We start from the raw sequence: 27,892 nt of genomic DNA on the forward strand, positions 1-27,892 counted from the left end.
TTATTTCATTATATATTACAATGTATTTTTTACTTTTATTTTATTATTATTATTATTGATATGGAATCTCACTCTGTTGTCCAGGCTGGAGTGCAGTGGCACGGTCTTGGCTCACTGTAACCTCTGCCTCCCAGGCTCAAGCAATTCTCCTGTCTCAGCCTCTCAAGTAGCTGGGATTACAGGCACCTGCTACCATGCCTGGCTAATTTTTGTATTTTTATTAGTGACAAGGTTTTGCCATGTTGGCCAGGCTGGTCTCAAACTCATGACCTCAGGTGATCTGCCCGCCTCGGACTCCCAAAATGCTGGGATTACAGATGTGAGCCATCGCACCCAACCTAAAATGGTAATTTTTGAAGAGAAATTGAGCATGTTCCAGAAGTGAAGAAAAGCAGGGGCTCCCAGGTCAAATAAGATTTAAAATGACAATAAATCATGATAAACATAATTATGCCGGAGGTAGAAAGAAATTATTTGGGCAGATAGTGAGGGCAACAGAGTCCTCACTGGAATTTCCCTTCTAACCAAAAGCAGCCCAAGACATAATTTTTTTTTTTTTTTTTTTTTTGAGATGGCGTTTCGCTCTTGTTGTCCAGGCTGGAGCGCAATGGCGCAATCTCGGCTCACCGCAACCCCCACCTCCCAGGTTCAAGCGATTCTCCTGCCTCAGCCTCCTCAGTAGCTGGGATTACAGATGTGCACCACCACGCTGGCTAATTTTGTATTTCTAGTACAGACAGGGTTTTCTCCATGTTGGTCAGGCTGGTCTTGAACTCCTGACCTCAGTTGAACCACCCTCCTCGGTCTCCCAAAGTGCTGGGATTACAGGTGTGAGTCACCGTGCCTGGCATCTATCCAACATTTAAAACCAAACAATTAAAACTAATTTTAAGGGAGGCCTAGAGCATTGGGAGGGGTGGTCATGGCAACTTTTCCTACCTGTCACAATTTTAGGGGGCCTGGTTCTGGCAAAAACGCTATGATGATTGTTTTTGCATCATGTTCCATGCCCCATACCCCAATTTAAAAGCAGAGAGAAGTAACAAATCAATACCTCTGACCCTCATCCCATTTCTGTCCCCTCCCCTCCTTCACTTGCTCTTATGGGTAAAGCTGCTCAAATATCAAGAAACATACTTTTAAACCACGTATAAGTTCACTTCAGAATGATTTTGAGTCTGTGGTAGAACTCTGGAGAAGTCCTGAATCCATTTGAAGCCCACGGGCAGGATACAAGGGCAGATGGGAAGAGAAGGGCGGAGATGATGGCAGAAGTGGACAGGGGAGGATCTGCTAGGAGGCTTGGGAGCTCTCATTCAAACTCTCTCCATCATTGTCTCCCACTCTTAGGCATAAGTCCACTCAAACATCAGGAGGCTGGTTGCAGAGGCATGGTGATCTTCTGCTGGCCTCAGCCTCGATCTTCTGGGGAAGGCAATGAGGAATTTGCTGTATCTCTGAAACCACCCTTGCAAAATTATGACAGTGAGCAAATCTGACATGGTTGACTCCATCTTGCTTCTGACCTTCAGGCTGTCTTTGGGCATTCCTGGGTGTAGGCTAAGCCAACTTTGGGAGGAATTTAGTTTATAGTTTAACTTTGAAACAAGGATGATGACAGTCCACTCTAAAATGAATCCTCTCCCTGTTTTCAGGGCTGAAACCACCTTTGTAAGACTAACAAGAGGTCCTAAAATAAGTGTGGTTTCTGTAAGCCCTTACTGCTCAGGTCATGGCCAGAGGTCACACGATAGGAGGACTTTTTATAATCCTTTGCTGTTCCAGGGGCATGTGGCCAGAGGGTCAAGATTGGTGACCTTCTCAATTTCTCCTATAAATAACTTCATTATTGCAGAACCTAAGATTGGGTTTTTGTGAGATGTTTTTCAGACTGACCCCACCCAGACTTGTGAGTCATGACTCAGCATGTGAGTAGAATCATCCAGTATTTGTCCTTTTGTGACTGGCCCCATCCAGAGGTAGACTTGGCACATGAGGACCCTTTCCTACACCCCTATGATTTCATCCCCAACCAATCATCAGTGCCCATTCCCTAGCCCTCTGCCCACTAAATTGTCTATAAGAACCTCTAGGCTGGGTGAGGTGGCTCATGCCTGTAATCCCAGCACTTTGGGAGGCCAAGACAGGTGGATCACTTATGGTCAGGAGTTTGAGACCAGCCTGGTCAACATGGCAAAACCCGTCTCTACTAAAAATACAAAAATCAGCTGGGTGTGGTGGCACATGCCTGTGATCTCAGCTACTCGAGAGGCTGAGACAGGAGAATTGCTTGAACTCGGGAGGCAGAGTTTGCAGTGAGCCAAGATTGTACCACTATACTCCAGCCTGGGCGACAGAGGGAGACTCCATCTCAAAAAAAAAAAAAAAAGAACCTCTAACACCTGAACCTTTGGTAGGCGCTGGGAGGGAGGAGAGACAGATTTGAGTAATAACTCCAGTTCTCACATGTGTGCTGGCTTCATGTCAATTAAACTCTTTACTGCAATGCCTCAGTCTCAGTGGGTTGATCTGTCTGTGCAGTGGGCAGGAAGAACTCATCAGGTGCTTACATCTCTGTAGGAAAAAGGTGGTCATAAATGGGTGAGTAGGATACATTCCCCAAAGTCAGGAACAGCCCTTGGTGAGGTTTGTAGGAGTCTCTTTTCTCCATTCTCGGTGTGGGAGGCATTTTGCTGCAGCTACTAGCAATGTCTTTGGCACGTTCCCATGTGATCCTTGCATCAAGTTCTTATTTTTCTTCCTTTTTAAAAATGTATTTTATTGGTCAGGCATGGTGGCTCACACCTTTAATCCCAGCACTTTGGGAGGCTGAGGTGGGTGGATCACTTGAGGCCAGAAGTTCGAGACCAGCCTGGCCAAAATGGTAAAACCCCATCTCTACTAAAAATACAAAAAATTAGCCGGGCATTATGGTAGGCACCTGTAATCCCAGCTACTTGGCAGGCTGAGGCAGGAGAATCACTTGAACCAGGAGGCAGAGGTTGCAGTGAGCCAAGATCGCATGATTGCACTCCAGCCTGGGCAACAAGAGTGACACTTCATGTCAATTATATATATATATATAATTTTTTTGTCTCTATGAATTTGATTACTCTTAGGTACCTCATGTGAGTAGAATCATCCAGTATTTGTCCTTTTGTGACTGGCTTATTTCACTTAACATAATGTCATCAAGGTTCATCCTTGTTGTAGTATGAGCCTCTGTTGCTTTTTTGGAATTGCAATGAAGAACACAATATAAATTTATCTTTTTAACAATTTTAAGTGTTCAGTATTGTTAACTATAAACACATTGTTGTAAAACAGATCTCTAGAACTTCTTCATCTTGCATGACTGAAACTCTACACCCATTGAACAACTTCCCTTTTGCCTCTCCCTCTGGCCCCTGGAAACCACCACTCTACTTTACTATATGTGTGTGTGTGTGTGTGTGTGTGTGTGTGTGTGTGTGTGTATAATATTTATTCCAGTCTAGGTTCACAATATTTTTTTTCTTTTAAAAATGTTTTATTTTGTTATCTTTATTTAATAGAGACAGGGTCTTGCTATGTTTTCCAGATTGGTCTTAAACTCCTGGGTTCAAGCGATCCTCCTTCCTCAGTGTCTCAAAGTGTTGGGATTACAGGCATGAGCCACCAGGTCTGGCCTAAATCAAGTTCTGAATTCATTTGATCTCCTTCCCTAGGGAGCTCTGCTGCATGGATTTTTTTGTGTCAGCTGATTTCTCCAAGAGATGTTCCTGTACCCTGCCAAACTCTCCCACAGCCAACTTGGGCAAAGGCCAAAGGAGATCTTCAATTAATTCCATTCTTTCTGTGTTTTGGATTTATTGTAGAAATCAAGATGTTGTTTCCATATTGAAATTGGAAGCTCTGTTATTATGAATGAAAACAGAAATAATCTGTTAACAACACCAGTTCTTAATTGCCTGTTCTTTAGTTTGGCAAGCTTTCCTGCAAGAGAAGAAAAACGACGTCTGCACACAAAAAACACAGGGGGAGCGGTGGTGGGGGAAAGCTAGTGCTCATGGAATCTAGAAGGTTTTCTGGCTCCAAACCGAATGAGCTCAAGACAAGGAATTACCAGACATGGAAAGTGATGGGGATGGGCAGAGTGTGGTGCCTATACCTCGCTTCTTCCTGCTATTTTGTATTTTCTCTGCCATCTATAAATCGTCTCATCTAGGCTTTCTGGAGGGCCTCCACAGTTTTGTTTTGTTTTGTTTTTCCTTTAAAAAAATTATAGTAAAACATACATAATAAAATTTTTCATTTTAACCATTCTAAGCTTATGTTTCAGTGGCATTAAGTATATTCATAGTGTTATGCAACCACCACTGCATCCCTCTCCAGAACTTTTTCATCTTCCCAAACTGAAACTCTGTACCTGTTAACTCCCCATTCCCCCTTCCCTGCATAAATAACTCCCCATTATCCCTTTCTGCTAGTCCCTGGCAACCACCCTTCTACTTTCTGTCTCTATGAATTTGATTACTCTTAGGTACCTCATGTGAGTAGAATCATCCAGTATCTGTCCTTTTGTGACTGGCTTATTTCACTTAACATAATGTCATCAAGTTTCATCCGTGTTGTAGTATGAGCCTCTGTTGCTTTTTTGGAATTGCAGTAAAGAACACAATATAAATTTATCTTCTTAACAATTTTAAGTTTTCAGTATTGTTAACTATAAGCATACTGTTGTAAAACAGATCTCTAGAACTTCTTCATCTTGCATGACTGAAACTCTATGCCCATTGAACAACTTCCCTTTTTCCTCTCCCTCTGGCCCCTGGAGACCGCCACTCTACTTTTCTGTTTCTGAGTTTAATTACTTTATACATCTCATGTGAGTGGCTTTATGCAGCACTTATGTTTTTGTGATTGGCTTGTTTCATTTAATGCCTTCAAGCTTCATCCATGTTGTAGCTTATGACAGGATTTCTTTCTTTTCTAAAGCTGAATATTATTCCATTGTATGAACATACCACATTTTCATTATCCATTCAACCATCAATGCACATTTGAGTTGCTTCCACCTCTTGGCTATTGTGAATGCTGTTGCAGTGAACAAAGGTGTGCAAATATCTTTTTGAGATCCTGTTGTTGCAATATATTCAGAGGTAGAATTGCTGGATCATGTGGTAATTCTACGTTTAACTTGAGCAACCTCCATATTGTTTTCCACAGTGGCAGCACCATTTTGCATTCCCACGAACAGTGCCCAAGGGCTTCAATTTATCCACACACTTGCCAACACTTGGTATTTTCTATGCTTTTGAAAATGGCCATCCTGACATGACGTGATGCCTCACTGTGGTTTTAGTTTGCATTTCCCCGATGATTAGTGATGTTGAGCATCTTCTCATAGGCTTGTGGCCACTTGTATATTCTCCATCGATTTTTCTCTCACCCCACCCCTGACTTTTTCTGAGCTTTTTCCTTTTTCCACAATCATACATCCATGCTAACGACAGATGAATCTGTTACTGTATTTGTTCTTATCAAGAAGAGGAAGCAAGAGAACTGAAAATAAAAAGATATATTTGAGAGACCAGCTAGAAAAAGAAAGCAGGTAGGAAAAATTGGAAAATGCACAGTGGAGGGGCAGGAATGGGAGGGAGGGAGCAGCAAAGCAGAACTGGGGGTGACAGGAAGGGACGCTGACCACCATGTCCCCAGAAAATTCGGAGTCAGAGGTCTTCCTGATCACCTGCCTTACCTCCAAGCAACCTGAAGAGCAGAATCCCCATCCCTTGGTGCCATCATGACTCTAGAAAAATCTTTTGAGAAACTGGGCTACAAATAAGTCAGGACTCACATCCTGGTGTCTCTTAGGACAAACAAGTGTTGTCCCCAAACTGCTCCATTCATCCTCTGATGTCATCCAGTTCCCATCCTCATCACTCTTCAACCCATCCACTGAGTTCCTGGAATACCTGCTCTGTGTCCAGCAAATTTCTATACATTCCCACCTTTTGTCCCATAGAGCCCTCACCTCATTTCCAGAACAGCTAGTTCCTTCATAATCATCTCAAGAGATTATCTTTCATTTTTATACACATCACTCATCTCAGGTCCCAAGATGGGCTCAGCGCCCTTCCTCCCAGCCTTGCAGACCTTTCTCTCTTTTAAAATTTTTATGTATTTATTTATTGAGACAAGGTCTTACTGTGTCACCCAGGCTGGAGTGCAGTGATGTGATCATGGCTCACTCCAGCCTCGACCTCCCAGGCTCAAGCGATCCTCCCACCTCAGCCTCCCAAGTAGCTGGGACTACAGGCATGTGCCTCCTCTCTGCCTTCATCTTCACATGGGCATTTTCTTCCTGTTTCATTGCATCACCTTCTGTCCGTGTGTGTTGGGTTCAAATTTCCCTTTTCTTACATGGATACCATATAACCTGTTAGTGTGGATATGTAAATGTGGAAAAAGGAAAAAGCTCAGAAAAAAGTCAGGGGGTTGGTATAATATGCCACAATGCCCAGCTCTTTTTTTTTTTTTCTGTAGACGGGGTCTTATTATGTTGCCCAGGCTAGTCTCGAACTAATGGGCTCAAGAAATCTCTCCTTGGCCTCCCAAAATGTTGGGATTACAGAGGTAAGCCACCATGCCTGGCCTCTCCCTTTCCTTATTGCAAAATGATCCCAGCTCTCCTAATGCTCAGATCATCAACTACACCCTCCTCTCCCCTTCCGCCTTCTGTATCAAGCAGCTTCCCAGACACTGTCCCCGATCACTGAAAAGTACACTCCTGACTGCCTTTCTGCCCCAATTTCTGCTACTATTTACATGCCAGCCCCACCTTTCCTTAGCCATCTCATCAATAGCAACCTTTTCTGTCACTCCATCTATCTCAGCCACCCAATGCCATTGCCAAACCCTGGATCTTGTCATCACCAGAAAGTGTGCCACCTCAGAAATCTCAAAGTCAGACATTTCCTTCTCCATCCCATCTCCTATCCTTCCAATTTATTTGCTCCAGGATACCTACAAGAACAATTCTTTTTAATTTTTTTATTTCATTTTATTTTTTGAGATGGAGTCTCGCTCTGTTGCCAGGCTGGAGTGCAATGGCACAATCTCAGCTCACTGCAACCTCTGCCTTCCAGGTACAAGCAATTCTCCTGCCTCAGCCTCCTGAGTAGCTGGGACTACAGGCACTCGCCACCACGCCCAGCTAATTTTTGTATTTTTAGTAGAGATGGGGTTTCACCATGTTGGCCAGGATGGTCTCGATCTCTTGACCTTGTGATCCACCCACCTCAGCCTCCCAAAGTGCTGGGATTACAGGCATGAGCTACTGTGCCTGGGTACCCACAGGGACAATTCTTGGGCCTCATTGAGATGTCTCTTCATTAATCCATCATCTCATTCTACAGTGTCCAGCCAGGATTTTGCAACCCAGAGTTATAATCACTCCCTGGCAAACACTCTCAACTTCCTCTCTTTCCCTCTGGAAGAAAAACCCAATTCTACGTAACAGCAACTCCACTGTGTCCACGCCTGCAGATGAACTTTAATGAAAAATTCACCCATCTGGGCAGACTGATCTTATTTAGAAACACAGTCATAAACTTTACATGGGCTTTAAGTAGCCAGAAATTGTACAATGCTTCACTAATAAGTTCACTCTCCCACTCCCTAAAGTAATTCTCTCAGGCCTTTTCTTCTCTCCTCAAGCCTTCACATGCACCCCCATCCCCTTCCTCCCTTATCCTGATGTCTGCAATTCACATTGTAAAACTCCCATATGATCAATGTGATGTTATGCATGTGCCTGTCAGCTTAAACTTCATTCTAAGTGTGGTTAGTAACATGCCATCTTGCACAGTCAAGGGGCCCAGACCTGGTTGTGGTGGGCATGAGGAGCGCTGACGGGATGTGGTGGAGAGAGGGAGGCATGCAGGCACCAAGACACACACCACCTGGTCCCCAGAAGCTGGCATAGCCTCAGGACCTCCAAACCCTGCTGGAGTCATCAGACTCCTGTGCTGCTGATGTTCACATTGGAGTGGATCCATCCATCACCTGGAGAATTTTTATTCTTGGCCTTCCCATCTTCACTCCCTCCCTTACCCCCACTCCCTCCATGTGTTGCTCTGTATGGCCTTCCTACTGATCATGGTTTAGGTCAACCACGGAAGGCATAGACCCATGTCTCTGCAGATCAATGAAGGTTGTATCCTTTTCCTGTGGCTGCTGTAGGAAAATACCAAACACTTGGATGGCTTAAAACAACAGAGACCAGCCTGGGTAACATGGCAAAACCCTGTCTCTACAAAAAATACAAATAAAAACTAGCCAGGTGTGGTGGCATTTACCTGTAGTCCCATCTACTTGGGAGGCTGAGGTGTCAGGATTGCTTGAGCCTGGGAGGTGGAGGTTGCAATGAGCTGAGACCAGGCCACTGCACTCCAGCCTGAGTATCAGAGCAAGGCACTGTCTCAAACAAAAGAAACAACAGAGAATTATCTCCCATTTCTGGGGGCTAAAAGCCTGAGCTCAAGGTGTCAGCAGGACGACACTTTCTCTAAAATCTACAGGGGAGGTCCTTGCGTCTCCTGGTTTCTAGCATCTCTCTGTTTCTTAGATTGTAGATGCCTCATTCCAGTCTCTGCTTTCATCTTCACTTGGGCATCTTCTTCCTGTTCCATTGTATCATCTTCCCTGTGTGTATCTAGGTCCAAAGTTCCCTCTTATAGGGATACCAAGCATACTGGATTAGGCACCTCCCTACTCCAGTTGCATTAGTCTGTTCTCACATCGCTATAAAGAAATACCTGAGACTGGGTAATTTATTTATTTACTTACTTTTTTTTTTTTTGAGACAGAATCTTGCTCTGTTGCCCAGGCTGGAGTGCAGTGGTGCAATCAGGGCTCACTGCCATCTCCACCTCCCAGGTTCAAGTGATTCTCGTGTCTCAGACTCCTGAGTAGCTGGAATTACAGGCATGCACCACCATGCCTGGCTAATTTTTGTATTTTTAGTAGAGATGGGGTTTTGCCAAGTTGGCCAGGCTGGTTTCAAACTCCTGATTTCAAGTGATTTGCCCGCCTCAGCCTCCCAAACTGCTGGGATTACAGGCATGAGCCACTGTGCCTGGTCTGGGACTGGATAACTTATAAAGAAAAGAAGTTTAATTGGCTCACTGTTCTGCAGGCTGTACAGGAAGTGTGGTGCTAGTATCTGCTTATCTTCCTGGGAGGCCTCAGGAAACTTACAGTCCTGGTGGAAGGCAAAGTGGGAGCCGGCCAGTCACATGGCCAGAGCAGGAGCAAGAGCGCGAGGTAAGAGCTACACACATTTAAACAACCAGATCTCACAAGAACTCAATCATTATGGCCAAGGACAGTACCAAGGGGGGTGGAGCTAAATCATTCATGAGAAACCTGCCCCCATGATCCAATTACCTCCCACCAGGCCCTACCTCCAACATTGGGAATTACTTTTTTTTTTTTTTTTTGAGATGGAGTCTTGCCCTGTTGCCTAGGCTGGAGTGCAGTGGTACAATCTCAGCTCACTGCAACCTCCACCTCCTGGGTTGAAGCAATTCTCCTGCCTCAGCCTCCCAAGTAGCTGGGACTACAGGCACATGCCACCACACCCGGCTAATTTTTGTATTATTATTAGAGATGGGGTTTCACCATATTGGCCAGGCTGGTCTTGGACTCTTGACCTCGTGAGCCTCCCACCTCAGCCTCTCAAAGTGCTGGGATTACAAGTGTGAGCCACTGTGCCCGACCAGGAATTACATTTCAATATGAGATTCGGGCAGATGCACAGACCCAAACTATATCACTAGTATAACCTCATTTTACCTAATTACATATGCAATGACCCTATTTCCAGATAAGGTCACATTTGAAGTACTGGGGGCTAGGAACTTGATGTGTCTTTTGGGAGGACACAAATTAACCCATTACAAAGCTGAAGACACCAATGAAGTACATTTTCTTACTCAGCTAAAGCTGTGGAAAACCACAAAAATGAATTTATTGTTATTCCTGAACTAGGTGGAGCTCAGTGTGAACCAACAGAACAGAATCTGGCAAAACTTTTCAGTTAATACCTAGAGATCCTAATAATCTCTCTGAGGCTCTTCTGACATTTACCATTGGGCTCAAAAGTTCCAGCAGAGCTATTAAAATGAAACCCAGGGGGAGAGTTGTGGACCCACTGGACATCTAAGTAAAATAAGTATTGGTATTAGGGAAAAATTGGGCTCCATATCTTTGAGCAATTACTTCAAGGAATCCCATAATATAACTTATGGAGGCCATTACAGTGGATGTTATTACATGCTGTCACGGAGCTCCAGAAGAGTGGAGTGAATATGAATGCAGCGGTGAAGGGAAAGCTTGCCCTTCACCCTTGGAAGCTTTGCTGAAAAATCAACTCACAAAAGCCGGGTCTATTGGATAAAAGGCATATAAATTTATTTGATCACAGTTTTATGTGGCATAGGAGCCTTTAGAATGAAGACCCAACTCCCCCTTGGAGTCTAGAAGTTTAGATACCATCTTGAGGTTACAAAAAAAACGGGGGTTTGAGTCCTGGCAAAACAGGTTATGGGAGCAGGAGAAGGGGAGTTCTGTTGCAGGGCAATGCATGATTCCTAGGGAGGATTTGGCGGGCTGCAAGAGTATACGGTGGTCTGGGAAAAGTCTGTTGGGCCCATAGAGTGGATAATGGTTGGTGACAAGAGTCCATCCAGGTTTGTTGACAGACTTTAATCTTCATTCCTGTTCTATGGGTTCAGTTAATGAAAATCGAGGGAAGCAGCCTGGTGTGGTGGCTCACACCTATTATCCCAACACTTTGAGACACTTAGATGGGAGGATCGCTTGAGCCCAGGAGTTTTAGACCAGCCTGGGTAATGTGGCAAGACAATGTCTCTACAAAAAAACTTAAAAACTTAGCTGGGTTTGATGGTGTGAACCTGTGGCCTCAGTTATTTGGGAGGCTGACATGGAGGATTGCTGGGCTTGGAAGGTTGAGGCTGCAGTGAGCCACATTTGCACCACTGCACTCCAGCCTGAGTGACAGAGTGAGACTCCATCTCAAAAAAGAAAGAAAGAAAGACAGAAAGAAAGAAAGAAAGAAAGAAAGAAAGAAAGAAAGAAAGAAAGAAAGAGAGAGAGAGAGAGAGAGAAAGGAAAGGAAAGGAAAGGAAAGGAAAGGAAAGGAAAGGAAAGGAAAGGAAAGGAAAGGAAAGGAAAGGAAAGGAAAGGAAAACCAGAATGCTTCTGGGGGAAAAACTTCACGGAAGGGACTAGAGTTAATTGTTTTCTTCTTTGTTAGGTCCAGAATTTAGGCAAATAAGGGAACTCTAGAGAACAACTCCGTCCAATGCTTTGGGAGAGATGGAGGAGGGTTGGGGGAGAGGACAGAGAGATCTTGAAGTTTTTTTTTCAGTTCAGCATGTACAAAGCACCCTATTTTCAGTTCAGCATGTACAAAGCATCCTATTTTGGGGTATTGGTTTTTGAGCCCCAACATGAGCTTCTCCTTTTTGAATGATGCCTATCAAGTGTGTGTGGAAAATGGCAAGACAGTTCTGTGAGCCATGTGGTTGGAACAGGTCCATAGAGGCACTGATCTTTCTGGGATGCCACCCGCACCACCCCACACCAAGATGACTCCCAGCCTGAACCTCACAGAGGCATCGGTGCTGCTCCTGGAGGATGCTGAAGCCTCAAACTAATGGAAATATTCTTTTTTCGAGATGTAGTCCTTTTTTAATGGCTACTCATTAGAAAAATGCCACGTTTGTTTAGGGTAGTGGAAAGGAAGACTAGCATCAAAATATTTCCATTTAAAAAATGATGGACGTAAAGGCCCAGCTGGGACAGATATGTTAATAAAGAAATGGCATTTTAAAATGATCTGCGTCGGCCGGGCATGGTGGCTCATGCCTGTAATCCCAGCACTTTGGGAGGCCAAGGTGGGCGGATCACCTGAGGTCAGGGGTTCCAGACCAGCCTCACCAACATGGCAAAACTCCGTCTCTACTAAAAATAAAAAATTAGCTGGGTGTGGTGGCGGGTGCCTGTAATCGCAGCTACTTGGGAGGCTGAGGCAGGGAGAATTGCTTGAATCCGGGAGTTGGAGGTTGCAGTGAGCTGAGATTGTGCCACTGCACTCCAGCCTGGGCAACAGAGTGAGACTCTGTCTCAAAATAAATAAATAAATAAAATAAAATTATCTGTGTCAACATATAATACATTTTTGGTGTTGTCAACTATTACTCATGTTGTACAACAGATACCTTATTTTTTATTTTTATTTTTAATGTAGAGACAGGTCTTGCTGTGTTGCTCAGGCTGGTCTCAAACTCCTGGGCTCAAGCAACACTCAGTCTCCCAAAGTGCTGGGATTATAGGCATGAGCCACCGCTCCCAACCAATAGATACTGTTTATTTTTGTTGCTGATAAAGGGTTACAGAGCTCCTAAGCAAAAAAGGCCCAGTGCAGCACGTCCAGAATTATATTTGAGAGGGCCATACTCCAAGGTGACTACAACAAATTGTTATATTGTCCCTATCTTAGTCCAGAGCTGACCCTTCACTAATGTATTAGATGTCAAGAAGAGGGATTTTGTTGGCAAAGCTATTGGCTTGTTAATTAGGGTGATAGATGTTAGAAAGGGCTGCTTTTTGGGGGACGTTAAGGTATACAAGATGTGTGGACCAAGTAAAACAGCTAAAAAAGACCCCTGACACTCACACCTATATGCCTTACATGAATACAGTAAAAGCATCCACTGAAAACTTCAGCCTAAAGCTATTACAGATGGGGCTCCTGTAAAAAGTCCCATTGCAAGAGGAGACATTCCTGTGTCCAGCCAATGGATCAGGGGGCTTTCTGATTTCATGATACCAAATAGAAGGCACAGAATGTTGCCTGCAGAAAGTTGTTCAAGTGAATCCTTCATGGAGTTGGAATATACAGTTTGGAATTCCTATGTATCAGTCAGCCTTAGCTAGCTTACGCTGTGGTAATAAACAGTCCTCCAATTCAAGGTGGCTTACAACAACCAAAGTTTATTGCATGTTGACTGCAGGTCCACCAAGGCCCTGCTCTGTGTCCTCTTCATTCTACATCCAAGGCTGAGTGAGCAGTCCCTCTCTGGGAAATGCTGGTCTCAAGGCTGAGGGCGAGGATGATGGTGGAACCAAGAGAAGGACTTTAAAGCCTCCATTTGGAAGTGACACATATCACTTCCACTCACACTTCACTGGCCAAAGCAAACCACACCCAAGCCTGGAGTTGATGGGCCAGTAGCAAGGAACATGGACAAAAATGCAGCTTCCTAATCCTACAGGGCCAGGGAGCCGGGAGTTGACTGAGTTTGCAAAGCTGGTGGCGTGAGCTGCTTTGTACCTGCTTGGCTAGTGACTGTCTAACAAATGTCTCTATCAGAGGCTTGCTTTCATTCTGCCTTTGTGTGTGGGGGTGGTGGGCGATTGGCTAGCCCTGACCTGGTGTAATTTCTTTCAACCAAGATTGTGCATAACCAACTGGCTCAGGTGAGTTTGCCACAGCCCCTCCCCATATTCCCTGACAAAGGCCCATTGCCTCCACAAAAGCTCCCAATAGGAATCCCACTCCTTCTCGCCTGTTCAGAGTTTGGCTTTTTCTAAAAAAGAAAGAAAGAAAGGCCAAATGCGGTGGCTCAAGCCTGTAATCTCAGCACTTTGGGAGGCTGAGGCAGGCGGATCACTTGAGGTCAGGAGTTCGAGACCAGTCTGGCCAATATGGCGAAATCCCATCTCTACTAAAAGTACAAAAAATTAGCCAGACATGGTAGCAGATGCCTGTAATCCCAACTACTAGGGAGACTGAGACAGGAGAATCGCTTGAATTCAGTTGGCAGAGGTTGCAGTGAGCCGAGATCACGCCATTGCACTCCCAGCCTGGGCAACAGAGCGAGACTCTGTCTCAAAAAAAAAAAAAAATAGTTTGGCTTTTTTTCCATTTTCCCCAATCTCTCTTCTGCATCATCACATTCTTCCCTTTTCCTGAATCATACCCATGAGCACACAAACATGGAGAAGTTTTTCTTGTCTTAAAACAGAAACAAACTCTTTTAAATGTACAACCCTCTTTGGTCACTGCCTTACGTCTGTTTCTTTCTTAAGTTTCTTTCTTTCTTTCTTTTTTGAGACGGAGTCTCACTCTGTCACCCAGGCTAGAGTGCAATGGTGCAATCTCAGCTCACTGCAACCTCCGCCTCCCAGGTTCAAGTGATTCTCCTGCCTCAGCCTCCTGAGTAGCTGGGATTACAGGCGCCCACCACCACACCTAGCTAACCAAGTTGCCCTGGTGATCCACCCACCTCGGCCTCCCAAAGTGCTGGGATTACAGGTGTAAGCTACTGCACCCAGCTTCTATCTTTTTAATGGAAACATTTTAAATTAAATTCAGCCTCAAACTGTCTTAACTCTGCCTCTCTCTATTGCCACCACATGTCCTGGGCTGCCATCATCTTTCACCTACAGAACTACAACAGCCTCCTAAAAGAGACTTAATAATCTGTACAACAAACCCCCATGACACCAGTTCGCTTATACAACAAATCTTCACATGTACCCCAAACCTAAAATACAAGTTAAAGAAAAAGGACTTGTGGCTGGGCATGGTGGCTCACAACTGTAATCCCAACACTTTGGGAGGCCTAGGCAGGTGGATCACCTGAGGTCAGGAGTTCGAGACCAGCCTGGCCAACATGGTGAAACCCTGTCTCTACTAAAAATACAAAAATTAGCTGGGTGTGGTGTCACATGCCTGTAGTCCCAACTACTCAGGAGGCTGAGACAGGAGAATCGCTTGAACCCAGGAGGCAGAGGCTGCAGTGAGCAGAGATTGTGCTACTGCACTCTAACCTGGGTGACAGAACAAAAGTCCATCTCAAAAAAAAAAAAAAAGGTCTTGTTTAACTATTAGTGAGAAAGGATGTCGAAATCCCCAAGAGGTTTGCTCTCGTCCAAATTTGAAGAGCTTACAATAATATCACTATTTTGAATTTGTGATTTGAACAAAGGATTAAATAAAGTTGTGCTTTGCTCAATAATTTCTGGTTAAGCTACCAAGTTAGCTCCTTTATTTTATTTATTTTTTATTTTTGAGACACATTCTCTCTCTGTTGCCCAGGCTGGAGTGCAGTGGCACCATCCTGGCTCACTGCAACCTCTGCCTCCTGGGTTCAAGTGATTCTCCTGCCTCTGCCTCCTGAGTAGCTGGGATTACAGGCGTGCACCACCATGCCGGGCTAATTTTTGTATATTTAGTAAAGATGGGTTTTTACCATGTTGGCCAGGCTGGTCTCGAACTCCTGACCTCAAGTGATCTGCCCACCTTGACCTCCCAAAGTGGTAGGATTACAGGTGTGAGCCACCGCGCCCAGCCCAAGTTAGCTCCTTTAAAAACATATTTTGGGCCAGGCACAGTGACTCAAAAAATATTTTTAAAGGAACTAACTTGGTAACTTATGTTCCCAATACTTTGGGAGGCCCAGGTGGGAGGATCGCTTGAGCCCAGGAGTTCAAGGCCAGCCTGGGCAACATAGTGAGACCCTATATTTATGAAAAATGAAAATATTAGCTGGGCATGGTGGTGTGTGCCTGTAGTTCCAGCTCCTCAGAAGGCCGAGGTGGGAGGATTGCTGAGCTCAGGAGGTCAAGGCTGCAGTGAGTTGTGATCGTGCCACTGCACTCGCAGCCTGAGGAACAGAGTGAAATCCTGTCTCAAAAACTTTTTTTTAATTAAAAAAAAACGTACTTTGAAGACACCTACACACAGATACATACAGCTGTGTACTATAGGCATAGCTTCCATTTGAACCAAGTCTTTTTTTTTTTTTTGAGACGGAGCCTCACTTTGTCACTCAGGCTGGAGTGCAGTGGCACGATCTCAGCTGACTGCAAACTCCACCTCCTGGATTCAAGCAATTCTTATGCCTCAGCCTCCAGAGTAGCTAGGATTACAGGCGCCTGCCACCACACCCGGCTAATTTTTGTATTTTTAGTAGAGATGGGGTTTCACCATGTTGGCCACGCTGGTCTTGAACTTCTGACCTCAAGTGATCCACCTGCCTCCGTCTCCCAAAGTGCTGGGATTATAGGTGTGAGCCACCGCACCTGGCCTGAACCAAGTCTTTAAGAGGGAGAATTCTGGGTGTGTTGGACTGGAAAGGAAAGGAAGTAGTTCTGGGCTTTTCCTTGGTGATCTTGGGGAGCCCACCCCTACCCTGGCAAGGGCCTTGGCATCCAGCTTCAGGTAGACCTCAGACCACAGGGGATACAGCATGGAGTTCCCTGTGTCCACCTGTGCCCTGACCTCTGGGTAATTCTCAGACAAAACCCACAGTACTTTAGGGGCCAAGGGCAAGCTTCCCCTTCACCCTCTGAAGGCTCATGGAAAAGTCAACTGACAAAAAGCAGGTTAAGAACAGAGAAGGCATACAAATTCATTAATATGCATGGGAGTCGTAAGACCTCAGATACATGGCTGGATGGCTGATGCTTCTTTTTTAAAAGTTTTTTTTTTAATTTAATAGCTATTTTTTTAGAGATGGAGTCTCACTCCATCACCCAGGCTGAAGTGCAGTGGTGCGATCATAGCTCACTGGATCTTTGAACTCCTGTGCTCAAGCGATCCTCCCACCTCAGCCTCTTGAATAGCTGGGACCACAGGTGCACACCATCACATCTGGCTAATTTTTTGTTTGTTTGTTTGTTTCTGAGACAGGGTCTCACTCTGTCACCCAGGCTGGAGTGCAGTGGCTTGACCATGGCTCATTGCAGCCTCAACCTCCGGGCTCAAGAAATCCTCCCACTTCAGCCTCCCAAGTAGCTGGGACTACAGGCATGCACCAGCACACTGGGCTAATTTTTATATTTTTAGTAGAGATGGGGTTTTGTCATGTTGCATATATATATACATATATATGTGTATATATGTGTGATATATATATGTATACATATATACATATATATATGTATATATGTATACATATATATATATATATATTTTTTTTTTTTTTTGTAGAGACGGAGTCTTACTTTGTTGCCCAGGCTGGTCTCAAACTCCTGGCTTCAAGCAATCCTCCCACCTTGGCCTTCCAAAGTGCTGGGATTATGGTCCCACCTTGCCCAGCCTGGTTGATGCTTTTCTGTAACCATCTTGAGGTTTCAGAAAAAACGAGGGCTTGGAGCAAGACCAGACAGGTTATGGGAAGGAGAGAAGAGGGGGCTTGGCTTACAAAGGTCATCTTGTTATGTAGATGAAATCTCACAGGTAGCAGCTCTCAGAGAGAAGAGATGGTGAATGTTCTTTTCAGATGTTTAAAGGTGTCGGACTCTCAGTTCATCTTTCCCAGATTGGACAATGGAAGGCCTCAGGGAAAGCCTGGTTGCACCCGTGTGGATTTTCTCTACAGGTGCAAATCTCCCCAACAAAGGGTAGCTTTGCAGCTTTTCCTTTATTTCCAGACCTTCTGAATAGCCATGTTGTACCATGTCAAGGAAATCTATTTTGGGGTGAAATATTTCAGTTTCCTTCAGTAATTTTGGAGGTGATGTTGAGTTGTAGGAGGGGGAGATAAGATTATTATTTTTCCTACATAAACTACTGTCATTGAGTACCATTTTTCTATTGCCTCTACCACACAGAGAAGAATGTATCAAGCACTCTAGTAGGCACTGCAGTATTTACAACTGAGAAAATAAGCAACTGGAAATATAAAAATTGTTACCTAGGGACGGGCAGGTGGCTCATGCCTGTAATCCCAGCACTTTGGGAGGCCAAGGCGGGTGGATCACTTCAGGTCAGGAGTTTGAGGCCAGTCTGGCCAACATGGTGAAACACTGTCTCTACTAAAAATGCAAAAATTAGCTGGGTGTGGAGGTGCATGCTTGTAATCCCAGATACTCGGGAGGCTGAGGCAGGAGAATCACTTGAACCCAGGAGATGAAGTTTGCAGTGAGCCGAGGTCACGGCACTACACTCCAGCCTGAGCAACAGAGCAAGACTCTGTCTCAAAAAACAAAACAAATTAAAATACAATAATAAATGAATAAAAATTGTTACCTATTTATTTTGGAGGAAACATATCTTGCCTAAACCCTAGCTTTCATTCAAAATGAATGATATATCAGAATGTCAGCCAAATTATAGCTAAGATTCATTTTCCCTATGAGTCTCTGTTTTGTTATGATTACAGCCTACAGCACCACTCAATTGTTAATGGTAACTGAAAAAATATATATATAATCCTCTGCTTCCCAGGTTCACGCCATCCTCCCACCTCAGCCTCCCAAGTAGCTGGGATTACAAGCATGGACCACCACGCCCACCTAATTTTTGTACTTGTGTTAGAGGCAGGGTTTCACCATGTTGGCCAGCTGGTCTCAAACTCCTGACCTCAAATAATCTGCCCGCCTCAGCCCCGCAAAGTGCCGGGATTACGGGCATGAGCCACTGCGCCTGGCCACTGAAAATATTTTAAAAATAATTTCGAAATGTAAAAATGATCTATAAATGATCCATTATGTGAAGCTAATTGCTTCTTTGCTTTTATATACATTCAAAAAAAGAAGCCAGTGTCATTGTGGATTAGACTCATGAACTTCCCCCCCACCCGCTTTTTCTCCTCCTTTTCACCAAAAAATTAGTCATTAGACTGATAACTGACAACAGAATGATGCCAAGTTGGTCAACTGCTGTCAAGCAACTCTCAATCTTCTTTTTCTTTTTTTGTTTGAGATGAAGTTTTGCTCTTGTCACCCAGGCTGGAGTGCAATGGCATGATCTTGGCTCACTGCAACCTCTGCCTCCTAGTTTCAAGGGATTCTCCTGCCTCAGCCTCCTGAGTAGCTGGGACTACAGGTGTGTGACACCACACCCGGCTAATTTTTGTATTTTTAATAGAGATTGGGTTTCACCGTGTTGGCCAGGCTGGTCTCAAACTCCTGACCTCAGGTGATCTGCCCGCTTGGCCTCCTAAAGGGCTGGGATTACAGGCGTGAGCCACTGCACCCGGCCTCAATTTTCTTTAATAAAAGATTAATTGGTGTCAGGTTGCTTAGGGAGAGGGGAGCAAAAACTCAGTCTTCAGCAACTGTGGGCTGTTTCTGGTGAATTAGTACCTCCTCCTGGCAATACTTTATCCAGCAGTGTTGCTGACAAATGGAAGTTGCTGGGGTGGGTGGAAGAGAAGGAGTAAACAGGGGGTCAGTTTTAGTGGCTTTATGTACCTGCTGTGGATAAATCAGTTCAGTGGATTTTTCATTTCCTTTTTCCACAAAGTGAGAAATAGTAGAGAGAATTAAGCTAAAAGACCGTTTGTAAATACAAAGTCACTGCATCTTCCCCCTCCACCAACATGATATATTCTCGAGTTTCTATTGTGTTCTAGGCCCTTAGATGAGTACTATGTGCTTAGTGTGTGCCTGTCCTCAGCAGGGTAATTCCACTTGCATCAGCCCCTCCTCGCATTGCTATAAAGAAATGCCTGAGACTGGGTCACTTATAAAGAAAAGAGGCTCAATTGGCTCCTGGTTCTGCAGGCTGTGCAGGAAGCATTATACTGGGATCTGCTTCCGGGGAGGCTCCAGGAAGCTTCCAATCATGTTGGAAGGTGAAGGGAGAGCAGGCGCCTTACATGGCCAAAGCAGGAGCAAAAGGAGAGAGTGGAGATGCCACACACTTTTAAACAACCAGGTCTCAGGAGAACTCACGATCGCCAGGACAGCACCAAGGGGATGGCGCCAAACCATTCATGAGAGACCCACCCCTCCTCCCGCGATCCATCCAATCACCTCCCACCAGGCCCCACCTCCAACGCTGGGGATTACAATTCGACAGGAGATTTGGGCGGGGTCGCACATCCAAACCGTATCCCCACTTGTTTCCCACCAAATGGTCTGCCCTTAGCCAGTCCCTCTGACTTTCTCAGTAAGAAAGTGCGAACTGAGGTGCCTGAGTGGCAGAGCTGGGATTGGAAAGCAACGTAGTGGATCCCAGAGTCAACATTCCGTTTTTGCGGGGTGGGGGTTGGAGGAGTTGGGAGGTCTTACTATATTGCCCAGGCTGGTCTCGAATTCCCATAGGCTCAAGCGATCCTCCCGAGTGCGGAGATTACAGGTGTGCGCCACGGCGCCCGGCTCCAAAGTCAACGTTCTTAACGTCTGCCTTACACTGTCTCCATGTTCTTACCTTTCATCCATTTTCTCTGGCTCATCATCTTGTCCATTTCCCTTCTCAGGGTCACCACCTCCCTCAGACGTTTCTGGGACAGATCCAAGCCAGCAGAGCAGCTGCTCGCTCCAGAGCCGTGGTGTCTTCCTGGTGCATCAGCGCCACCGCGTGGCAAAACAGGGCAACTGTAGGAATCGACTTTCCATCTATTTGGAGCTCATCAGTGCTTTTCTTTTAGGTGACAACAGAGTTGTCCGGCAGGTTTTTCCTTTCTTTTCTTCAAGTAGGGTAACATTAGTTCACATCTGCTCAAAATAATTTATGTTCGTATTCTAACAGACTCATATGGCAGGAACAAGAAGTGCACATGCCAAAAGAAAGGCAGAGGACTGCAGGAGCAAGACGGGTTGCAAGGGGCGTGATGACTAGCACAATCCTGGCCCCTCTTCTTCCAGCATTATAAAGACACAGTAGAATAATAGTGCATGAGTTATTGTGACAGTAGCACTTTTCAAAAATATATAGCATTGTGGAAACAGACGCCTCCAAATATATATTCCTCACTGCAATAAATGTCTATGTAAGAGTAATATCTAAATCTGGTTACGTATGTGCTAGCCCTTACTTGCACATCTGATAGTGTTCCACGATTCCTTTGCAGAAGCTGTGGCTGACTTTCCCACCTGGGGTGATTTCAGGACAATATTAAGGTGCTTTGTTCTCCCTGTAAGGAAGCAAGTTGGATAATGTACACAAAACTAAAAGCATATGTTCAGTATAGTTAATAAGTAAATTGGTGATCTGTAAGCCATATTAAGATAAATGGAATAAACAGTATAATGGAACAGACAGCAATGTTCCTCAAAGATAGAAAATCACTCTGCACCTTATAAGCTGACAGCTGTGTCATGTCATGCCTAAGTCAACCACACATTGGTGAGACCCAGTGTGGTCCCATTCTGGCCCCATATGCACTCTGCCCAAGAAAAGGGAGATAAGCCCAGTGCTGCTCAGTGGGCTGACCAGCCAGCTGCAGCGGTGGGCACGTGTGCGTGCTCTGTGTCTTCTGGTGGAGGAGGGGATGTGTCGGCTCCAGGTGCGGCCATTTCTTGGGTCCCTCTACTGGAACTTCCATGCTGGTCCTTACATCCGTGCTACCATGAGGCTGATATAGCTGAGAAAGGGATAAGACATGTAAACTTTGCGTGATCTGGATCCAGACAGTGTGCTCCTTCTGTCCCACTTGCATCCTATCCTAAGCTTGTTAACCTTTTGGACTGTGTGTCTTTCTGCTCCGCGACCCTGGGATGGCTCGCCTTGGTGGTGCTCTGGGAGCTACTGGTGCATCTAGGTAATTTTCTACACAAGTACAGGTAAGGGTTAAGCTGTTTGGGTGTCAGAAATTCTATGTAGGAGGGTCATAGGGAAAACAGTTTATTTGGAAAAAGAGGCTGGAAGGCTGGTCTTGAGGCTGTATTTTCTTTTTTCTTTTTCTTTTATATTTTCTTAGAGATGGGGAGTTTCACGCTGGTCACCTAGGCTGGAGTGCAATGGTACGATCTCGGCTCACTGTAGCCTTTGCATCCTGGGGTTCAAGCGATTCTTGTGCCTCAGCCTCCCAAATAGCTGGAATTACAGGCATGCGCCACCATGTCCAGCTAATTTTTTGTAGTTTTTAGTAGAGATGGAGTTTCACCATGTTGGCCAGGCTGGTCTCGAACTCCTGACCTCAAGTGATCTGCCCACGTCAGCCTCCCAAAGTGGTGGGATTACAGTCATGAACCACCGTGCCTGGCCTGAACCTGCATTTTCTTAGTGTATTAGTCAGCTCTGGCTGCCCTAACAAAAAGCCACAGACCCAGTGGCTTAAACAAAAGGAATTTATTTTCTTACAGTTATGGAGACTGAAAGTCCAAGGTCAAGGTGCTGGCAGGGTTGGGGTCTGGGTTCTCTCTTTGGATTGCAGACGGCTGCCTCCTTGCCATGCCTCATGGCCTCTCCTTAGTGTGTGTGGATGGAGAGAGGAAGAGGAACCAAGCTCGCTGGTGTCTCTTATAAGGGCACTGATTCCATCATGCAAACTCCACCCTCATGATCTCATCTAGGCTTCATCACCTCCCAGAGGCATCACAATGGGGTAGAGAGAGCTTCACCATAATGACTTTTAGGGGGACATAATTCAGTCCACAGCATTTAGCAAACACATTTTTTATTTAGAGTGACGGAGGTGGGAGGGGGCAGCTCTGAATTAGCCTTCACTGAACTGAAAAACATTTATTCCTGGGAAACGCAACATGCCAAGTGAAATCCACACTAACCTGCAGGTGGTAGCGGATCCCTGCCTGAGAGCAGCTTGGGGTTGGGGGCGAGGAGGGAAGGGAGTGGGCAGGGGGTGCTGATGATGGTGGACTCATCAAAGAGGGGAGGAAAAGGGAGAAGAGAACACAGTCATCCTTAGGTTGCGAACCAGGGCAAAGACAAACTTCTGCCTAAATCACAACTCTGACTCATGGAGGTCCTGCTAAGCATCTGGCAAATTTTATAAAGAAAAATGTTCTGGGCCTCCCAACTACAGGTTTAAAAATCTACATTTTCTCTAAGGCTAGTAAAATATGTGTTTCTCATCTCAAAGAGACGTGGACATTACTTCCGCCATTGCTTCTACACATCACCTTCCCCACATCCATCAGAGGGTGTGTACGAAGCACTCACCCTGGACCCCAAGGCTTGCCTGCGACAGAGCTCGCTCCATCTGCAGAGTCCGTTAAACAGATTTTGCGGCAAATTCAAGTTGATCCACAGCAGTTATAAATCCAGCACTCCAGGCCGGGCACGGTAGCTCACACCTGTAATCCCAGCACTTGGGGAGGCCGAGGTGGGCAGATCACTTGAGGTCAGGAGTTCAAGACCAGCCGGGCCAATATGGCGAAACCCCATCTCTACTAAAAATACAAAAATTAGCCAGGCATGGTGGTACATGCCTATAATCCCAGCTACTTGGGAGGCTGAGGCATGAGAATTGCTTGAACCTGGGAGGCAGAGGTTGCAGTGAGGCTGAGATCACACCACTGCACTCCAGCCTGGGTGACAGAGTGAAACTGTTTCTCAGTAATAATAATAATAATATAAAAAAACAAATTCAGCACTACTCAGTTCAGTCATCAGCCCAGGAGGAGTCCAGGACAACGGAAAGCTAGAACAAAGGGAGCAGTACTGAACCCCTTCCAAGCCCTGGAAAAACTGCACGCACAGACCAGGGCACCAGGTGATACTTGGTACACAGGTAGGTGACTCCTATTTATCAGATGGGAGGCTGACTGCTCTGTGCTCATTGGCTTCCTGGTGGCATCTCTGATTTACTAGCCAGGCTGCGCATGGTGGCTCACACCTTTAATCCCAGCACTTTGGGAGGCCGAGGCGGGTGGATCACCTGAAGTCAGGAGTTCAAGACCAGCCTGGCCAATATGGTGAAACCCCATCTCTACTAAAAATACAAAAATTAGCCAGGTGTGTAATCCCAACTACTCGGGAGGCTGAGGCAGGAGAATTGCTTGAACCCAGGAGACAGAGGTTGCAGTGAGCAGAGATCGCATCAGTGCACTCCAGCCTGGGTGACAGAGTGAGACTGTCTCAAAAAAAACAAAAACAAAAAAAAAAGCCAGGCATGGTGGCAGGCACGTGTAGTCCCAGCTACTCGGGAGGCTGAGGTGGGAGGATTGCTTGAACCTGGGAGGCAGAGGTTGCAGTGAGCCAAGATCATGCCACTGCACTCCAGCCTGGGTGACAGAGCGAGACCCTGTCTCAAATTAAAAATAAATAAATAAATAAACAAAAGCAAATCAGGCCCAGTTTGAAGGTAGAGATGGGGTCATTTATATGGATGCAACTACTGGCCATTGATTGTATGCCAAGCACTGTGCTTGCTTTCCATATTTTTTTCTAGGTTTTTGTTTTTGTTTTTGTTTTTTGGTCTGTCGCCTGGCATGGAGTGCAGTGACACCAGTGCGACTCACTGCAGCCTTGACCTCCCGAACTCAATTGATCCTCCCACCTCAGCCTCCCATAGCTGGGACTACAGGCTCACACTACTATGCTCAGCTAATTTTTTAAATTAATTATTGTTTTTTTAAATTAATTATTATTTGTAGGGATGGGGGTCTCTCTATGTTGCACCTGGCCAAGACATCATTCTAACTGAACTACGCAAGTCACAAAAGGACAAATACTGTATGATTCTGTTCAAGTGAGATGCCTAGAATAGTCAGATTTATAGAGCCAAAAAGTAGCATGGTGGTTGTCAGGGGTTGGGGATAGGAGAAATAGGGAGTTATGGTTTAATAGGTACAGAGTTTCAGTTTGGAAAGATGAAAAAAACCCTATAGATGAATAGTGGTGATGGTTGCACAACAATGAGAACGTGTTTAATGATACTGAATTAATAAGATAAAAATGGTTAAAATGAGGCCAGGCATGGTGGCTTAGACCTGTAATCTCAGCACTTTGGGAGGTCAATGCAGGAGGATCACTTGAGTCTAGAGGTTCAAGACCAGCCTGGGCAACATGGCCAAACCCTGTCTCTACAAAAAATACAAAAATTAGCAAGGTGTGGTTGCACACATCTGTAGTCTCAGCTACTCGGGAGGCTGAGGTGGGAGGATGACCTGAGCCTGGGGAGGTCGAGGCTGCAGGACAACAAACCAAGACCCTGTCTCAATAATAAATTTTATGTTATGTATATTTTACCATAATTCTTTTTTTATTTTTAGTCTTGCTCTGTCATCCAGGCTGGAGTGCAGTGACATGATCTCGGCTCACTGCAAACTCCACCTCTCAGGTTCAAGCGATTCTCCTACTTCAGACTCCTGAGTAGCTGGGATTATAGTCATGCACAACCACGCCTGGCTAACTTTTGTATTTTTAGTAGAGATGGGGTTTCACCATGTTGGCCAGACTGGTCAGACTGGTCTTGAACTCCCGACCTCAAGTGATCCTCCTGCCTCGGCCTCCCAAAGTGCTGGGATTACAGATGTGAGCCACTGCGCCCAGCACCCCTCCTTTTTATTTTGAGACAGAGTCTCGCTGTGTCTCCCAGGCTGAAGTGCAGTGGCAGGAACACAGGTCACTGCAGCCTCAACCTCCTGGGCTCAAGCAATCCTCCTACCTCAGTCTCCCATATAGCTGGGAGTACAGGTATGCACCACCACACCCAGTTAATTTTTTGATTTTTTTTTTTTTTTTTTTTTTGTAGAGACTTGGTCTCACTTTGTTGCCCAGGCTGGTCTCAAACTCCTGGGCTCAATTGATCTTCCTGCCTCAGCCTCCCAAAGTGCTGAGATTACAGGCCTGAGCCACTGCACCTGGCCCACAATATGTATTTTTTAAAGTTTAAAATAAGTAACTTCGTCTTAGATAGCACCTGCTGAAAAGTTTCTGGCCAACACAGCTTTTCCTGGCTCCAAAGCTCCTATCTGTTCTTTGTCACCACAATACCTCACTCCTTAAAGGCAACGTCTGTCCTAGGCCCCACTCATAGAAGCAGAGGGTGGACAGGGCTGTACCCGTCGTTTCCTCTTCTTCACCCGAGCATCCCCAGCCTCTTGCTCATAGTCCATTGCTGTAGGTGTTTTGACAATGGGGCCAGCCTCAAATGGCAACTCGACTCCATATAAAATATAATTATGTTTTTTAAATTTTAGGTCAAGCTTTGAATCATTGCAAAATAATCAAGAAAAGGCAGTGGTGGCACAAAATGATGATATAGTTATGAAATTGTCATCTGAAATCTGTCTAGAATGTATTGAAATCCATATTAATTTGGAAAGACGTGGAGAGAGGATGAGGTTTTGACATGTCATCTGGAGTTGAGGAATCACTTTGGAAGGAGCTGTTGAGGGCTACAAAATATTGAACTAGCATAAATATTTGCTTTGAATGATCTTTCATCTTCCTAAAGACGTCAGGAAGTTTCTCAAGGGAAGTTAAGGTGGTTTGCTATAGGCTAGCAACCCGACCTCGATCCATGCCATAATTCACATGGCTTCTCCTTCTGCTCAGGGAGGTGTAGATGCCACAGATGATTCTGGAGTAATCTCTGTATGTTTAGATCCTATTGGGGTGAGTTGGGGAGTCAGTCTGAAGTGAGATCCAATAATATGTCAACCAATAACAAGAGAGGATTCTGGAAAGGAGGTCTGGAATGTGTTTAAAAATAAAAGTTAAGCCTACATCCATACAGAGAAACAAGAAGATAGATGCTTGGGTGAGATAACTAACCATCTAGCCTGGGCACAGTGGCTCACACCTGTAATCCCAGCACTTTGGGAGGCCGAGGCTGGTGGATCACTTGAGCCCGGAGGGTCAAGACCAGCCTGGGCCACATGGCAAACCCTGTCTCTATAAAAAGTACAAAAATTAGCCGGGTGTGGTGGTGCATGCCTGTAGTCCCAGCTACTCAGGAGGCTGAGGTGGGAGGATGGCTTGAGTCCAGGAGGTTGAGGCTGCAGTGAGCCATGATGACACCACTGCACTCCAGCCTGGGTGACAGAGCAAGACCTTGTCAAAACAAAACAAAACGACAATATCAAAAAACAATCTAGAGGTGATGGTCAAAGGGTATGAAGTTTTAATTATGCAAGATAAATAAATTCTGGAGATCTCTATACACATAGTGCATATAGCTAACAATTCTGTATTGTATACTTAAAATTCTCTGAGAGGGTAGGTCTCATATTAAATACTCTTACCACACATACACACAAATAATAATTATAATAGGAGTGGAAGGAAGCTTTGGGAGGTGACAAATATGTTTATGGCCTTGATGGTGATGGTTTCATGGGTGTATACTTATCCCCAAGCTCATTGGCTTGTATATGTTAAATATGCACCGCTTTTTACGTGTCAGTCATACAACAATAAAGTGGTTTAAACATTTTGTTTTTAAAGAGAACAATTTGGAATTAGACATGGAATATGAAAACAAATGCATGAATACAAATTTGCAGGCCATTAATGAGAATTGAGTAAACTAGCTCTCTGAGTGGAAACAGCTGAAATTCTCCTAGTAAGCATGTTATCCACACCCAGTAATGTTGTATGTTACGTTTTACTCTCTTGTGTGGTGTTATATTTTACAATAAAGAGAAGAAAAAGTGCACTGTCTGAGCATAAGGTGGGGGGAGGACGTGTCTATCATTGCTTCATGTCGTCGTCCCTGCTGTGTGTGATCTTCACCATGTTGCAGTTCATTTGGGAGCTGAAGACAAAGGCTAGTTGCTGTTTTAATGTTCTGCCGTCTCTGAAGTTGCAGGATGGTTATGTTAATGCTGTGGTTTGAAAATGGAAGCCTGAGATGGCAGCAAAATTCCTGGCTCCCACCCGCCCTTCTGGGGATGCACAGGAAGAATATCCCACAAGGATCTCCATCCTGCACATTCCAGGGCAGATCTGGGCAATATCAAACAAGAGAACCAGCCGAGCTCACACTTGTCTGGACCCAGTGAAAGCTCTTGCCCGACTTTATAGCAAACAAGAGTGCTTAGAATAATTGCTCCTAATTTTGTTTGTTTATTTATAAGTAGAAAGGCATGAGTCTTTCTATCCTGGGTAAAAGCCAAATCAAGCAATTTGATTCATTATTCATGGTGCCACTGACCAACTTGAAATTAAGAA

At 45.1% G+C, this 27,892-nt stretch overlaps 1 long non-coding RNA gene and 1 pseudogene across 1 annotated transcript in view, besides 1 other annotated feature; one reads left to right on the forward strand and one right to left on the reverse strand.

Moving 5' to 3' along the window:
* The window catches only part of LOC124903193 (uncharacterized), a 53,667-nt gene extending 32,664 nt beyond the window's left edge, over positions 1–21,003 (reverse strand). The window contains exon 1 of the long non-coding RNA XR_007063839.1: positions 20,240–21,003. This is a non-coding gene — a long non-coding RNA (uncharacterized LOC124903193). The remainder of the gene's footprint in view (positions 1–20,239) is intronic.
* Positions 2,442–2,561: a silencer, noted in NCBI's record as "silent region_5441". NCBI's record gives its function as "represses an Ori minimal core promoter by ATAC-STARR-seq in GM12878 lymphoblastoid cells {active_cell/tissue: GM12878}" and the evidence as "EXISTENCE:reporter gene assay evidence [ECO:0000049][PMID:35858748]".
* On the forward strand, positions 9,964–10,369 carry MEMO1P5 (MEMO1 pseudogene 5; annotated as a pseudogene).
* Positions 21,004–27,892: the final 6,889 nt, after the last annotated feature.

Source organism: Homo sapiens, chromosome 13 (genome assembly GCF_000001405.40).
Source record: "Homo sapiens chromosome 13, GRCh38.p14 Primary Assembly".
Taxonomy (NCBI): Eukaryota; Metazoa; Chordata; class Mammalia; order Primates; family Hominidae; genus Homo; species Homo sapiens.